We start from the raw sequence: 16680 nt of genomic DNA, 5'->3' as shown, positions 1-16680 counted from the left end.
TAACCCCAGCACCCAACCCAGCTCTCCCTGCAGACTGAACTTCAGTGGCACTCCGAAGTTGGAAAGAAATGTTCCTTCACTAAAATAGAATAGTGGAAGCTTGTCCAAATTATGCTCAAAGATACAATTTTCTCAATGTTAAGTTTTTCCCATCAATTTTTGTTAAACCTTTGGCACTCACAGCTCTGCCTATCTCTAGTGAGAGCCCACAGATGGCAAGGCGAAGGAACAAGTCCCGTGTGAATAATCATGGAAAAGCCTCAGGAGCAGCCCATCACGTGTCCTTCAACAGCTTGTTTATTTCACAGACACGTGCTCATGGTTGTGATTTTATATGCACACATAAAATAAATTCCCATTTTCTACTAATAAAATTGTTTTGGTTCATACGATAGAAGTATATACCACATGCTTTTCTGGTAGTCTTTTTTATTTTTTTTTAGAAAAAAAAACTCAGGCTGGGCGAGGTGGCTCACACATGTAATCCCAGCACTTTGGGAGGCCAAGGCGGGTGGATCACGAGGTCAGGAGATCGAGACCATCCTGGCTAACACGGTGAAACCCCGTCTCTACTTAAAAAAAAAAAAATACAAAAAAATTAGCCGGGCGTGGTGGCAGGCACCTGTAGTCCCAGCTACTCGAGAGGCTGAGGCAGGAGAATGGCGTGAACCTGGGAGGCGGAGCTTGCAGTGAGCCAAGATTGCGCCACTGCACTCCAGCCTGGGCAACAGTGCGAGACTGAGGCTCAAAAAAAAAAAAAAAAAAAAAAGTCATAATGTTCTACTAAGAAAATTGTGGTTGCTAAGAGCCGGGACATCTCAGTGACTTTACAAAGTATTGCCTCAGACACACTCTTCTTCTTCCAACATATCAGACTCATACACACTTATGCCTTCATCATACCGTTCTTCTTATGATCTCCATGACCCCTTTTCTGCCAAAGAATACTTGGGCATTCTGCAAGGTCCCATCCTCCATGAAGGCTTTCTGAACTCTGTCCTGAGATCCAACAGAATCCCTTTCGTTTCTTTGGAAATCAGTGAGGAAGAGAGAAACACTAGACATCAGAGAAAAGTAGTAAAGAAGAAAACACTAAGTGAAATCTACAAAGGAGGAAATATCACATTGAGAAGGAAGATGTGGGAACTATTGCATTTACCCCAGAGAACAGCTTTGTGGATCTTACTGAAAAGGTCACTGATGGTCATGAAAGGTGAGCTCCTAGCGACAAGATTCATACAGAAAAATTGGGAGAGAGCACAATGTATTACATTTCTACTCTATTCCAGATACTCTGCTAGATGCTTTTCAAAATATTCTATTTATTCCTTTTGGAAACTTTAAGGTTTGCATTATTATCCCTGTTTTACAAATGATAAAACTGAGGCTCAGAGAGATGAAATTATTGGCTCAAATTCATCCACTTTGCAAGATGGAAACCCATTTCCACTGCCCACATCTACCTGGCACTGGACATCCTCACATACTTTATCTCATTGAACAGTCAAACAGCCCTATAAGACAGGAGTTATTATTCCCATTTTTCAGATAGGAGACTGATATGCGGAGAAATGAAACAGCCTGAGCCAACAGTCCCCTAGTCAGTGATGACAGAGTTGAGATAGGATGTGGGGCTTTGGCTCCAAGTTCATGCTCTTTTCACCATATCCCAGCTGCCACAAGGAAGCACAGGTATAATTTAGTAGCTTTGAGAGAAAACATTACATCTGGGAAGCAGGGGGAGGTGGTTTAAGCCACTGAAGATCTTTGGATAAATAAAGAGCCTCTTTCAGACAAGAGTCTATAGAGCCATTACCATATTACCATATGGATTACCTAGTTACCATTTACATTTACAAGGTGTACACATAGTTGTAAATGAATGCTACTCGCATTCCAGTCAGGAATGTGTGGGCTGGAATGGGTAAAACATGGATCCTGTAATGAAAAATTGCATCTTGTCATCGAAAGCAGTTTAACTAATAGGGAGGAAGGGGAAGTCCATATTTAGCTGGTACATTCCCCTGTGATGGAGACAGACCCTGTTGGAGCAGGCCCTAAGGTCAGCTCACAGGTTCGAGACGAACATTCCTAGGTGGGAAGATCTAGATGAAACCCAGATAAATATACAAAGCAATTAGGTTATGGAGCAAGGGGCAAGAAGAGTGAGGAAAGATTTCAAAGGCAGTTCAAGTCAAAGGTATACAAAATTCTCCCAACCAGGATGCTACTTGATGAAGAAAATTCCTTGATGGTCAGGCAGAAAGGAAAGCCTTGGAATGTTGATTTTTCTTGGCTGCCTAAAGACCCTCCAGATGCATGGGATTGTATCCCAGGGAAACTGGCAACAATGGTGAGGACCAGGAACACCAGGGGTAAGTGAGACACTGTTTTTTAGGGGGGACCCTGAAGCCTCCCAATCTTCCCAGACCAGAGGAGAAGTGGAAAGTGGTTCTTCCAACCTGATCACTATTGCCCAGCCCCAGGGACACCTGTCGGGAAGGGAAAGGGACCTAGGTGGAATGAGTCAATGAGGAGGTAGAAGTCCTCCTTCTGAACAAGACTTAAATAAGGACATGCAAATGGGAGACTTGGGAATTTGGGTGCAATATGAACTCCTTCTGGGTTGCTAAATGCTAAGATGAGGCCCTAGGGTCCCACTGAGCTTCATGCCATTCCTAATCTGACCAAAATGAAATTCGGTGTCCCAGGGTCCAGGTACTGCTGCTAAGGAAATGCGGTGCTTCCCTCCACACACACTGAGCTATTGCAGAGGCCAGGTTACCAGTTCCTCATTCTTCTCCCACCATGTGAGCAAGGCAGAAGCTGCGCACCTGTAAAACTTAAGTCCACAAAGAGAAGGTAACCCAGCCGCCCCTTTCTCAGGCACAGTGTTTTGCTGTGCGGTAGAAATCACATGTTCATTCACATTTTCAGTCATCCTTTAGTGACCACCTCCTAAGTGCCAGGTGCTGTGGTTGGGGCTGAAGGATTCAGACAAGAGTCTGAGAGGTTCCCTGTAAGAGGAATTTGTGTCACAGGAAATACAGATGCATAAATAATGTGATCTGTGCTTTAATTGAAGACATCACAAACGCTGTGACGTTTGAAGAGGTTTTTATCTTTTGGTTGATTGAGTTTTTGTTTGTTTGGTTGGTTGGGTATTTGTTTGTTTGTTTTTTGAGTCAGGGTCTTGCTCTGTCGTCCAGGGTGGAGTGCAGTGGTGCACAATCTCAGCTCACTGCAGCCACCACTTCCTTAGATCAAGTGATCCTCCCACCTCAGCCCCGCTAAGTAGCTGGGACTACAGGCACGCACCACCATACCTAGCTAATTTTTGCATTCTTTTTTTGTAGAGATGAGGTGTCGCCATGTTGCTCAGGCTGGTCTTGAACTCCTGGGCTCAAGGTCTTCCAGAGTGCTGGGATTACAGGTGTGAGCCACCACGCTCAGCCTGGTTGATTGTTTTTAAGTACCTAAGAGATGTATTCAATGATTCCAAAATGTGAAGTGTCACCCCTCTAATGATTTTCTAAGACCCTTGATGTCCTGTCCCTAAAATACCCATTCTAGCCCTTTCCCAGTCATATCTCCCCCAGACCTAACATTCTACAGTTTAGACACACATGAGGAATCAACAGTCCCTAGATGTGCCAGCTATTGCCAAGCCCCCATATGTTTGTGTGTGCTGTTCCCTCTGCCTGGAAAGCTACTTGCTCTGCAAAGCAAAGTTGAGTAATTAATCATTCAAGGGCTGTCCCAAATGTCAACCCTCTCTAAAGCCTTCCTTGACCCTCACAGGAAGTACTCACTGCTCCTTCATTTGTACTCTCAGAACCCATTTACAGGGCTCTATTAAGACACCTGTAAATATTGTACAATAGCTATTTGTTCCTGTGCCCTTCTTCCACCTCCCACTAGACTGTGACCTTTTCTCAGACAAGTCCTAAGCTGAGGACACCAGCAACTCAACAAATGCTTCTAGAAGTGAAAATGAAATTTACTGCTGTGCAAACTCCTATGTGTCTTACCTTAAGAACCCATTAAAGGTGATTGCCCAGGCCAGGCACGGTGGCTCATGCCTGTAATCCTAGCACTTTGGGAGGCCAAGGCAGGTGGATCACCTTAGGTCAGGAGTTCAAGACCAGCCTGGCCAACATTGTGAAACCCTGTCTCCACTAAAGATACAAAAACGAGCACGGTGTGGTGGCGGGCACCTGTAATCCCAGCTACTCGGGAGGCTGAGGCAGGAGAATTGCTTGAATCCCGGAGACAGAGGTTGCAGTGAGCCATGATCGCACCATTGCACCCCAGCCCAGATGACAATGTGAGACTCCATCTCAAAAAAAAAAAAAAGTGATTGCCCAGCCTTATCTGATAGAAGGAAGGACCAGTCACTTTCCATGGTCAGATACGCTCACCCACTTATTGCTGGGACTCTATAGTGTTACGGGCTGGGGTGGAGGGGACCTAAGGTTAGAAATACAGTATAATAAAATTTATATTTTTAAAAGGCTGTAACACATAGATATAGTTGTTTGGGCAATAGAAAACAGAATGATACGCAAGAAACTGTTAATCATGCATGAAAATGGATACAGGCTAGGAGGTTATATACAGGCTTTGATTTTTCATTCTACACCTTTCTGTGCTGTTGAAATTTTTGTCATAGATCTCTGTCACTTTTCGAAGAAATAAGAGATTAAAACAATTCCTATGACTGCATCTTAAGTGAACCAACTAAAATTAGGTTGATGTTTACCAAAAGATGTGCTAGAGTCTCACTACAATGTTCATAGCAGCATCATTAAAAATAGCTAAAACTGGAAACTGCCCAAATGTTCACTAACAGTAACATGGGTAAATGAGTTGTAATATACTCATACAGTGGAATACTATACAGCAATGAGAATGAATGAAATATAACTACATACTACAAATGAATGAATATCCCAAACAAATGTTGAAGAAAAGAAGCCAGATACCACATTATACATGGTATGATTCCATGTATATTAAGTACAAAAACAGGCAAAACTGAACAGTGATGTCAGAAGCCAAGATGGTGGCTACCCTCGTGGGGAAGGGGATTTAACAACTGGTAAGGGCTATGAAGGCGGCTTTTGGTGGGATGAGGAAGGGAGCCGGGAGTGTTCTGTTTCTTAATATTGGTATTGAATGCACAGAGGTGCTTACTTTGTGAAAACTCATAGAGTTATATATTTATGATTTGTGTATTTTCTTGTATGTATGTTATACTTCAATTAAAAAGTAAACAAACATGCAAAACAGGCCCAAATTGAGGCGCCTGAACATTCCCTTACATCAAGCTGATAATCCCTCTTGAGAGTTGGATGCCGAACTTCCAGCCTCCTAGAAATAAATACAGGTCAACGTGGAGATGGGAGTGAAACTGTGCCCCCTGATCATTTCATGAGCGCTAGTGTCTTGTACCCAAGTAGAGCCTTAGGGCAGGAAGGAACAGACAGAGAACCTGGATGCCTTCAGGGCTCTCCTGGGATGGGATGCTGTTCTCATATTTTAAATCTTTAGGCATATAGCTTGGCCTCTTGATAGGAGAGAAGGCAGAGAAGGGAGAGGAGCGGGGATGAGAAGAGGTTTTCAGATGGGTCTGGTTTAAATTGAGGCTGCCTCCTGCCCCAGAGCCAACAGGCAGGCAAGATAGACTATTAGCAAGAAACATGATGGGGAGAGGAGGGAAGAGGATGTGTACTTCTTTTTAAACACTCACTGTGGTTATTTGGTTTGACATGGCCATGAGTGGGAAGATGCCTCAGGCTAAAAGGGCAGACTGGACCCCGCATTTGAAGCCAAGCGATCAAATCCACTGACAGGACATTTGTTCTGGGGGCTCAATTGTCAGTTGGCCATGGTTGATCTTCCCTTTGTCCAACTCAAAATAAATACAGCCCACTCCACAGGCCCAGCAGAGCCTCAGCGGAGGTGGGCGTCTACAGACCAAGCCAAGAGCTGAAAGAACCGCCCGCCTTACCACCCGCTCTCCAGCTGCCACATTGAAGCAGGCCTATGAAGAAGCCCCGCTCCAGCCCTGCCAGCCCCTTAGTCTCTTCCAGTGGAGCTGCGGGAGAGGCTGAAGCAAGGCCTTTCGTAGCTCGAGACGGGCAAGTTCTGAGTCAGCCTGCTCCTGCTGTAGGAGCTGAAGTCCAAGGAGGGCACAGAAGGGGTTAACCCCTGGTCACATAAAACTCACCACCATGGGCATAAAAGGAAGCAAAAAGAGGACTCTGAGCGGTCAAAATAGATTTTGCCAAGTCTACACATCCAAGTTTGTCCACTTCCTCATTGGAGGGGATGCTTTTGCTGCTACTCAGAACCTCTGGGCTCTTTCTCTATGCCCATTGCAAACACACTTGGTTTGCTGGTTTCCACGCCTATGGCAGATCAGAGTCAGAAAATTACAACAGATGTGAGGGGCTAGAGAAGCATGTGCTGAATGCATCGTGATGTTCTGATTAACAACCTGACATTGAAAAGGGGGCAGGAAAACTCGGAAGATCCAACACAGGATCCACCAAAAGTCCAGTAGCCCGAGGCTCTTTCATGGGAGACAGGCAGTCCCCCAGATTTCTCAGGGGTAGGGAAGGATGCAGGCGTGTGTCTGGCTCTAGGAGCTCTTCCCTGCATGGTGAGATGAAAGGACTCAGGAGGCTTGGGAGAGATTGCAGGGTCGCATGGCTGCTGTGCAGATTCTGCTGCAGAGCTGGACTCAGTTTTGAAGTCAAGGAGAAGCCATGGGAAGTTTCCTAAGATTTCCATCTTCTTTCTTTTTTTTTTTTTTTTTTGAGATGGAGTCTCGATCTGTCTCCCAGGCTGGAGTGCAGTGGTGTGATCTCGGCTCACTGCAACCTCCGCCTCCCAGGTTCAAGTGATTCTCCTGCCTCAGCCTCCTGAGTAGCTGGGATTACAGGCACACGCCATCATGTCTGGCCAATTTTTGTATTTTTAGTAGAGATGGGGTTTCACCATGTTGGCCAGGCTGGTCTCAAACTCCTGACCTCAAGTGATCGGCCTGCCTCAGCCTTCCAAAGTGCTGGGATTACAGGCGTGAGCCAACACGCCGGGCTAGTTGTTTCTTTTTAAAGTTGTGGGCTTAAGAAATAAACCTGTCAGCCATCAGAAATCTAAATAGGACATGCTCTTCCAGGTTTTCTTGATAGTGGCTGTTTCATAAGAATTGAAAGTCAGCAGGAGACAGGAGAAAGGATGTCTTCGAGCTCAGTCAAGAACCAGGAGAGGAATAAGGTCCCCCAGACTGGCTGGATCAGAGGCTCAAGAACATGCATTCTGTGTTCTGTCAGAGATCTGACTTGCTCCTTTCTAACTGAGGAAACTCAGACATGGTTTTAAACCTCTCACTTTGAAACTCAGTTTTCATATCAGCAAATTGGGTATTATTACCACTTCTAAAGAGAGATTGGGCGTATTAAATGAAACACTGTAGTATGTAAAGTGTCTAGCACAGAGCCTGGCATATTGGAGATGCTCAGTAAACATCATTTCCCTTCTTTTTCTAAAGTGGCTTTCATGAAGACAAATCCTTGCCAGCCCAGGACAATAATTCAGAAGTCTGGCTGGAGTTGCTGAAGCAGGTTCCTAAGGAAGCACAGCAGCTCTCACTGGCATGGCAAGCAAGCAGCCAAAGCCCTGAGAACAAGGTGAGGGGCAAGATGACAAAGTGAGAGACTGCAGGAACTAAGACGACAGAGCAGAGTGAATAAGAGCAAGGACTCTGTTCAAGATCTACATTAGGTGCCTGACTCCAACTCTTACTAGCTGTGTGACCTTGGGCAAGTTACCTAACCTCTCTGTCTCACTTTCCTCATCTATAAAACGGGGAGAATAATGATATCTGTATCACAGGGTTATTAGGATGATCAAGTGGGTTAATATAAGCAAAGCCCCTAAACAGAGTCTAGCACAGGGAAGTGTTCTTGCAGTGCTGGCCGCTGTCATTAAGCACACACAGCTTCCACAGGGCAGCAGAGTGGCTCCTGGGCAGATCCTAGGGGAGCAGGCTCTGTTGCTTGGGCACACTCCCTTTTTTACTATGTGCTAGCTATGTGGCCTGGAGCAATAGATTGAACCTTTCTGTACCTAAGCTTTCTCATCTATGAAAAGTGGAGATAATGATAATAGTACCTCCCTCAGAGGGCTGTTGTTGGGACTAACTGTGCCAAGTCATGTGGAGTGTTTAGCAAAGTGTCTGGCTCATATTAAGTACTCAGTAAATGTCAGCTTTTACTATTCCCCGGCTGGAAGGAACCCTAAAAACAATATGCCCCCTATTTTTTAAAGAGACATTGAAGCTAACAGATGTTCTTTTCTCCCTTAAGTTTTTAGGGCCTTTATTTCTGAATTTTAGAAAGGAAGATAGGATTCTTTATCTCTCCCTTAAATAAAAACACATTTCAGTACCTTTTTTTTTTTTTTTTGAAACGAAATCTCACTCTGTCTCCCAGGCTGGAGTGCAGTGGCATGACCTCAGCTCACTGCGACCTCCATCTCCCAAGTTCAAGCGATTCTTCTGCCTCAGTCTTCCAAGTAGCTGGGATTACAGATATGCACCACCACGCCCAGCCAATTTTTGTATTTTTAGTAGAGACGGGGGTTTCACCATGTTGGCCAGGCTGGTCTTGAAATCCTGACCTCAGGTGATCCACCTACTTGGGCCTCCCAAAGTGCTGGGATTACAGGTGTGAGTCACCACGCGTGGCCAACATTTCAGTACCTTTTTTACCCTTTCCTCAAATCCCTTCCTTCCCCCCATACAAGAATAGGAAAGGACTCCAGGAGCACTGTAGCCCACATCCCAAACCCTAGGCAGGTCTACACTCACCCCGGCATTTCTAACAGAGAAAGAGGAGGGATTTTCCCAGTATGAGAAACCAGGATCATGATGCTTCCATATTTCCCACGATCATTTTGGTGATCAGCTCAAGACAGGGTTGCCTGCCTTATACGGTAACTTGCTTTTGGCATTTTAGGGGAAAATTCTAAAAGCAGTTCTCTAAAGGGTAACAGTTCTCAGGCTTGGGGCAAGGTACTTTCTTTTCTATTCTTCTACACTGTTCCCCTCTAGACACACTGCAAATTGAGTTTAAAGAACAAGGGTCTAGTTATCGTGCTGTGATTGAGTTTTGCTACTGCCAGAGGACAAAGGCTAGATTGACATTAGATGAATGTGCCAGAGGACTGGTCTCTCTTTTTGTTTTCTTTTCCAATCCTGTTTCTCTCCTGGAGGAGAGGGAATGATAATTAGAACACATGCTTGTTCGACAAAACCTCCCATGTAAGTAATGTTCCTAGGAGGGAAGCCTCAACGTAATAGACAAAGAACTTCTAAATACTACCTTTAACTCTTATAAAGGCAAAGATAACAAAAGAAGAGGAGCCGGGGAGGTAAATCATAAAGAGAAGAAGGAAGAAGAGTGGAGAGAAGATATCAGTAAATATTTAAAAATGAGGAGCCCACCCTGGGCCCAGGAGCTGGCTCAGGTCATCGCAGGCTGTACTCTGACTTTTAATGCTGCAGCCAAGATGGCTGTGCCAAGAGCTGTACCCCTTGTCCAGCACAAACCTCCAAATTCCCAGAATCAGAGACTCTGAGAGATGGAACAATCCTCAGAGTTCTTCTATCCTGGAAAATGCATTAGTCCCTCTACCCTATCCCTAAATCTTTCTGCATAAATGCCTCCTGTGATGGAAGACTCAGGGCCAGATACAATCTTCCTTTGCTGGACCACTCCAAACATCCCAGAGTCCTTCCTAACCCTATTTGGAGCTAAAATCTGCCTCCTTTGACTTTGGCCAGCTCTGTCCTTTACCACTCTGGGTTGAAATGATGTTTCCCGGTAGTCGCTGAACAAGAGAGGCAGATGCTAGGTCTCCCATATATGGGCTCTGGGATGTGACCACCTTGGCTCCTATCCAAGTTCAGCAACTGACTTTCAAGCTCTGTGACCATTGGCAAACTACTTAATCTCTGTGTCTCAGTTTCTCAACTATATATTATAGAATGGAGACATTAATAGCCTGACCACTTTGGTACTATTATTATGAGGATTAAATGAGATAATCTGTGAAGAATTATATATGGCATGAACAAGTCATATATAAAGTGCTGAGTAAACTTCAGATACTGAAGTTACACAGCAGACTGTGGGCTCCTCCAACGCAAAGACTGGGTCTTATTCATCTCTGCAACTTTTTTGCCTAGCACGAAGTCTGGCTGAATATTTGGTACAAAATACATGTTTACTGGATAACTAAATAATCGCAATAATTAATTGGCAATTATTCTGGTGTAATCCCCTGCACATGATCGCGTGTTCAAGACAAGCATTTTTGAAAAAAAATCTATCGCCCAATCCTCCCCTGCCCCCACCTGAGCCACTATTTGTTACTACTCAACCCAGAACTATCCTACTTCTCTTTTCAAAGTGGAATGGAGAGACTTGGCTTGAGGCAAAGGTCACAAGAGCCAAACTCCAGGCATCAGGTCCAACCCTGTGAGGAAGTTGCTGTGAAGCGTGCGGCACTGTTTTCCTGTAGCCAAAGTTATAAAGTGTGATTGATGTGTTACGGTTTAGATGGTGAGGATATGTGGCTCTGTGGGCTGTAAGCCTTCCGGAGGGCTGGGGCCTGAGAGACTTAAGGGAAGAGGAGTAAGAAAGCTCCTTTGGAAAAATGAGTTTAGAGAGCAGGATGTCATGGGATGGGATGGGGAGGAGCGGGAGTGGGGGTAGACAAAATTGGGGAGGAGGAGGATCTGGGAGCTTACCTGGGCCCTTCATCTAGCTAGGGAGATAGAGCTCTCAGGAATGTCAGCAATAAGCTCAGAGCACAACTGTACTAGTGTAAGATCTCCAGCCACCAAACAGAAACGGTACCACCTGGAGAAAGAAAAAGGGCACTAAGGGAAAACTGGAGTCGGAAGCAAAATGTTCTACCAGGAAACTAGATCTCAAGGAACTGCTTGTTACATGTTCAGAGTACTTTCCATCCATCAACTCATGCCCATTTCAGTCTTCCAAAGTCAACAGCTCCAGCGTGCCTGGTCAGTGCTGAGCCCAGGACTCAACACGGGTGCTGCAGGTTGCTTAGGGGCACGCCAACATTTCAAGGGCTATAAACGACAGACCAAGTGTCCGCTCTGTTTAAGAGACACAAGTGGAGATAGGAAAGAACCTTTGACTTAAGTGTGGGGGTGGCAGGGGCAGGAACTGCCCCAGAGTTGGCCACCGTGGGACCCCCATTGCTAGGGGCTCTCTCCTGTCACTTAGCATCTTTCCTCCCCACCGCTGGCACGCGGCGTGAATGGCAGGGCACTCCAGCAGGACGAGAACAGAGCTCCGTCACAGGCCCCCAGCATCCCCGGAGAGAAGATAGAGCCGCCCCACGGCCTTCACAGGAGGGGGTAAGGGGGCGGAGAGGGGAGAGGATTGTTTGTTTATTTGTTTCCTGGAACACCCTGTTAAGAATCTCAGCAATTGCAGTTAGTGCCCTATCGTTTGGCAAGCAGAGCCGCTTCTCGTCGTTCCCAGCTGCACGGGATCTAATTCGCAAATACACCATCTTGCATTCAATACTTAAATGGAAAACAAGCAGCCCGGGGAGGGAGGCAAAAAGTCTGAGTCTGCATGCCCGTTTCGGAGGGATTTAGGTTTCCAGGTCGGTGGACTGGCTGCTGCTGTCCCCGGAGAGGATTTCTTTGAGCCCGAACCCTGTCTCACCTCGACTACAGAACCCACTCTGGCGGAGGTTACGAGCCGCAGTTAAAGAGAAAACGGGATTTGGTTGGGTCTTAGGCCTTGCCAGTACAAAATAGTAACAAAAATCTGTTTGAGAGCTGAGATTTTAAAAGGAGATGCTGCTTATTCTTCCCACTGGAAACCTGGTTAAAAGAAATTAAGGCCTCTCTTAAAGGTAACTAAGATTAGAGGGCTCGGTTTCCGTTTTCTGTGTTTCTGTGGGCTAAACGCCCAGGTCGGTCAGCGAGTTTGTGTGGAATGACGAATTCCTCTCCCCTGAATTCTAAAATGATAACTTTGCTTGGTGCTGCAGCTGCGAACGTCTGGCGCCAAGAGACCCAATTCTGGTCGGGGCTTTGCTGGATGGAGAAGTGGGGGTGAGTGGGTAAGGGGGAAGAGTCGTGCCTCGGTGAAAAGTCGGGAGAGCGGCGAGAAGGGAAGTAACGGCGGCTCCTCCTGGCCTCGGCCCCTTTAAGTGCTTCACTGACTCAGCTAAGCTTCCCCCTCAGGTCGCGTTTTTTATGAATGAAAAACGTCCTTACATTCATTATATAAACAAGCCTGTGCTGATTGGCCAATGGCCCCCGGTGCATAAATTATGTAAAACAGACCCCTGAGGGGGTGGAGAGAGATGCACCGCTGGCCAATGGGGGCCGGAGTTGATGGGGCGGCTTGGTTGGATTTGCCCGCAGACAGGGTAAACAAGAGGTGATGGACAGCCGCGGGAACGGCCTCTGGCCAATGGGAACAAGGCTGGGCTAGGGCCGCGGGCCAATGGCGGCGGGCGGAGCAGCGAGCCGCGGGGGGCCGGGCCAGCGCTCCAGCCTGGTTGGCAGCTGCGGCGCAGAGTCCAGCCGCTGGTGCGCGGAGCGGTTCACCGTCTTCGGAGCGGTTCGGCCCAGCCTTTCGCCCAGGCGCCCAGGCCCGCTGCGCGCGTGCGTGAGCGCGCCTGCGCCGCCGGGGCCGCTGCAAGGGGAGGAGAGAGGCCGCCTCAGGTGAGGGGGCTTTGCGGGGGCAGGGGGGAGATCGGAAGGGGCGTCCGGCCACTGGTCCGACAGGCCCAGCCGGCTAGAGTTCACGGGCTGATTCAGAATCTTCAAAGTCGGGGTGCAGTAGCTGGGGTGACCCCCCCCGGGTTGACCGCCCCCTCCCCCCGCGGCCCGGTCCGGTTTGGTTCCTGGGAGGCGTCGGGCGGGTGCGGCTAACGGTTCCGGAGCGCGGGGAGAGCGGCTTTCCACACGTCGTGGGGGAGGCGCCCCGGAGCGCGAGTGCGGGGGCTCCCGAGTGGATGGGGGATCGCGGAGTTGCGAGGCTTTCACAGTCTCTGGAGATTCGAGAGCCCCGAGGGGACTTGGAGGCTCGCGAGAAGAGACGCTTGGCGGAGCTCCGCAGTTGGGAGGAGGGGGCGGGAAGCAGTTTGAGGGGAATGTCTGAGAGGCGCTGCCCCCCAGAGCACCGGGAGGGGGTAAATGACACAGGCAAGTGCAGCCTGCGGGGGCGGGGGTCGACCAGGAACTTACGCAGGCCTTGCAAGTTTCAGGTGGTGGAAAGTGGACATCCAGTCGCCCTGCTCCCACCCAGCAGGCTGAGGGCGTCCGGCTGTGCGGCGACTCGAGAAAATCGGGGCGCACCGGAACAGCGGCCTGGGGATGGTGGGGATAACACGGGTGTGGAGGGGACAGCACCGAAAGATGCTGCAGCCTCGCAGCGGATTAGGGTTCCGGCCGCATTTTCAGAGGGTGGAGAAAACTCGGGGGGGAACCGAACTCCTGGTCGACGAGGGGGTGCCAGGGAGAGATGTTGGGGGTGGGGGGATTGGAAGCGGTTGGTAGCGCCGGGCGCCGCACCTCGTTTTTATGAATGTGGGTGACTTTATGAATGAAGCGGGTTTCTTTCGTTGGCTCGCTGCTCCCTGCGGCTTTTTTTTTTTTCTTCCCTTTTTGTGAATGAAGCATTGAGCTTTCTTCCTAAAACGCTGGGGTGAGGGGCCTGCGTCGGAGGCTGGGCGTGCGTTGGAAATGGGGGCGGGGGCGCAGCTGAAGGAGTTTTCATGAATGGGGAAGGCTGAGAATTGGGTGGAAGTGTGTCTTGTTTTGTGAATGGGGCCCAGCGCTAGAGATCCAGTTACAGCCTCTACCTGATGTGGCGGCCGCGGCTCGCTCTCCCATTCATAAAACCGGGCCCGCTGCGCGCCACAGGGGAGGGGCCTGGATCGCGCCGCTGCGCTGTGCTAAAGTTTTCCTGGGGGCGCCCGGGGCGCGGGTGGTGGGGGGGCAAAGGAAGTGGTTTAAACTCCTGGATGAACTCGAGCCTTTCCTTCAGGCTTTTAAAAAAATTATACTTGGAATACAATTTTTCTAACCCTGGAATGCCTCTTTTCCGTTCGTTTATGGCAGTTTATTTCTTTTAATTTTTTAGAATTTTTTTTGCTCTTCCGGGTGAAGTATTTCATCATGAGACTGAAAAATATCTCCCCCTCCCGTCTTCTACTGGTTGTCCCCTTCCTCCTAACACATTCACAAAATGTCTTAGGCCATGATTTAATCTGACAGATTTTCCTAAGCGACAGAGCACTCTCTCTTTCATGCCCCTCAACTCACTGCTGAGGTTTCTCAGATTTTGTATACGGTTTGGTGGCATTTGAGAGAGGCGTTATTCTGAACATTTCTTGTGGTGTTTGGACGGGGCACGCAGGCAGGCTGGCGCGAGTGTTTTTCTAGGAAGTTATGAACTGTGTGCTATTTTGCTCCTCTCTTTCCTTTGACTTTGAAAATATCTGATTCCTTGGGCCAAAGTGCTGCGGAGGATGCTGGCTGTGAAGGGTGTCCTTGTATCCTGCCCACTTATGAAAAATTTGATATGCTACACACAGTGTGAAAAACAAATTGGATGGAATTGCTCACCGGGGGAAAAGTTTCCTGTTTAAAATTGTGTATATGTCAAACAAAAGAAGTTGACCTTTAAGCATTTTGAATTGCTTAGAGCTGGAGTGAGTGAAATTAATGTTTTTCCACCTTTTGTTGACTTAACGGTGTTTTTATTTGAAGAATAAAAGTGTTTAGGAAGATGGTACCTCCCTGAAATTGTTACTTTATTCCACTCACGTTAGGAGAAGTTTTCTCCCTTCTAACCCCACCCTTTTTCCCCAGACTCACACACTTACCCGTCCTGAAATGAGTTTCATTTGGGGGTGGGGGGGTATGTCTAGAAAAAAATGATTCCGCTATATGAAACAGCCTAAGTTTTAAAAGACCTTTGGTAGAGATGCATTGTACCACATGCAATGGAATTAGTTTTTTTAATCCATTACTTTTCATAGACATTTTACTCTTTTAGAAGTTGGAGATGTCACAAATATCTCTGTAAGTAACCAGGGAGATATTTGTGACATTACAGATGCTATATCTGTTTAGTCCTCTTTTAAATAAAGAGTTGTGTGTGAAGATAAGTATACCTCTGATCAATTTATTCCAGGAACTATATATAGTGTTTTAACAGTGACCTACAAAATGCTTTTGGAAACACCATGTATGTCAGATCTTTAATTGCCAATAATTTGGAATACTTAAACCCAGTTTCTCTGCTTCCTGACACTGTACTGTCAAAAATTAAATTATCTCTTTTTTAAAAACCCTACTACAAATGCCCTGGAGTATATGAGAGAATCTTGAAATCACCCTTTTATTTTATTTTATTTATTTATTTTTGTTTTGGTAGAGAACAGACAGTAGCAAATCTGTAATTTTAATGATTTAAATAAGAAAGAAAAAATGATGACTGGGTAAATGGATTTGGCACGGAGTACATCCTGTACCTCTGATACCATTAATCAAGCCCGGCATTGGTGTGTAAAGCTTGCACCTTGAGTAGGTTTTAAGTACTTCACAGAAGGGTAATAATTTTGCACAGGCCCTAAAAAAAAGGCAGTCTAAAATTGTTTCATTTCTTTTTTTCCCCCCTCTTAGTTAAAATCTCCCAAATTCATATTACAGGAGGATCCCTTTTCCCCCAGAAATTACTCAATGCTGAAACCTCTCAAAGTGGTATTAGAGACGCTGAAAGCACCATGGACGGGTTTTATGATCAGCAAGTCCCTTTTATGGTCCCAGGGGTAAGTTTATGTGGCTTTTGGTTTGTTTTGTCCTCCCTCTCCAATATGAGTCTTCCCCCTGTGGACCTCTTTACTACACTTGAGCCTTCACTTTCTGTTGGCCTCTTTCAGAAATCTCGATCTGAGGAATGCAGAGGGCGGCCTGTGATTGACAGAAAGAGGAAGTTTTTGGACACAGATCTGGCTCACGATTCTGAAGGTAGTAAAGCTTTCCCTGATTATGTTGTGGCTTCCCTGCTCCCAGTGACAGTAGCGTGTAGATTCTTCCCTGTCTTCTCCCTAGCGAAAGAAATATCCTCATTCTGGGGTCTTCTTTTTCAATTTCAGAGCTATTTCAGGATCTCAGTCAACTTCAAGAGGCTTGGTTAGCTGAAGGCAAGTTTCATGGATGTCCTATTTTCCATATAAAACATTTTACTGTGCTTTTTAATAAAACTTAAAGGTCTAAAATAAAAATCTATTTTCCAGCACAAGTTCCTGATGATGAACAGTTTGTCCCAGATTTTCAGTCTGATAACCGTAAGTACCTTTCTGGTGATGGCACATTTGTTCTGAAATTGTTTGGTCTTAGATCATCCATGTCTAGAATATGCTTTTTTCAGCTATGGCCAGATTTAGACAGTAGTATGCATTTAGTTTCTTCTAATAATTCAGAATTAACCCTGAAAACTTTTATTTCATAATAAAATTATTTCTAAAGTATTTCTACTGTATTGCAGGTAAGATTTACTGAACATAATTTTATCCTAAATTTCTTTTTACCTTAAGAATATTGTA

The 16680-nt window shown here is 46.5% G+C and overlaps 1 protein-coding gene across 1 annotated transcript in view, besides 4 other annotated features; it reads left to right on the top strand.

Moving 5' to 3' along the window:
- Positions 12119–13097: an enhancer, noted in NCBI's record as "OCT4-NANOG-H3K4me1 hESC enhancer chr3:185826419-185827397 (GRCh37/hg19 assembly coordinates)". NCBI's record gives its function as "activates a minimal SCP1, AML or CMV promoter by ChIP-STARR-seq in naive H9 embryonic stem cells {active_cell/tissue: H9 hESC(naive)}" and the evidence as "EXISTENCE:reporter gene assay evidence [ECO:0000049][PMID:30033119]".
- Positions 12326–12955: a silencer, noted in NCBI's record as "silent region_14980". NCBI's record gives its function as "represses an Ori minimal core promoter by ATAC-STARR-seq in GM12878 lymphoblastoid cells {active_cell/tissue: GM12878}" and the evidence as "EXISTENCE:reporter gene assay evidence [ECO:0000049][PMID:35858748]".
- Positions 12638–16680, top strand: part of ETV5 (ETS variant transcription factor 5) — a 62776-nt gene continuing 58733 nt past the window's right edge. The window contains exons 1-5 of the mRNA NM_004454.3: positions 12638–12787; positions 15785–15903; positions 16015–16102; positions 16231–16278; positions 16372–16422. Coding sequence (NP_004445.1) covers positions 15859–15903; positions 16015–16102; positions 16231–16278; positions 16372–16422 — 232 coding nt within the window. The 5' untranslated portion in view covers positions 12638–12787; positions 15785–15858. The remainder of the gene's footprint in view (positions 12788–15784; positions 15904–16014; positions 16103–16230; positions 16279–16371; positions 16423–16680) is intronic.
- Positions 12986–13085: a silencer, noted in NCBI's record as "silent region_14979". NCBI's record gives its function as "represses an Ori minimal core promoter by ATAC-STARR-seq in GM12878 lymphoblastoid cells {active_cell/tissue: GM12878}" and the evidence as "EXISTENCE:reporter gene assay evidence [ECO:0000049][PMID:35858748]".
- Positions 13856–13915: an enhancer, noted in NCBI's record as "active region_20931". NCBI's record gives its function as "activates an Ori minimal core promoter by ATAC-STARR-seq in GM12878 lymphoblastoid cells {active_cell/tissue: GM12878}" and the evidence as "EXISTENCE:reporter gene assay evidence [ECO:0000049][PMID:35858748]".

The sequence above is a fragment of the Homo sapiens genome, chromosome 3, assembly GCF_000001405.40.
Source record: "Homo sapiens chromosome 3, GRCh38.p14 Primary Assembly".
NCBI classification, from domain to species: Eukaryota; Metazoa; Chordata; class Mammalia; order Primates; family Hominidae; genus Homo; species Homo sapiens.
Note: the sequence above shows the minus strand (reverse complement) of the source record. Positions and strands in the feature narration are given on the sequence as shown.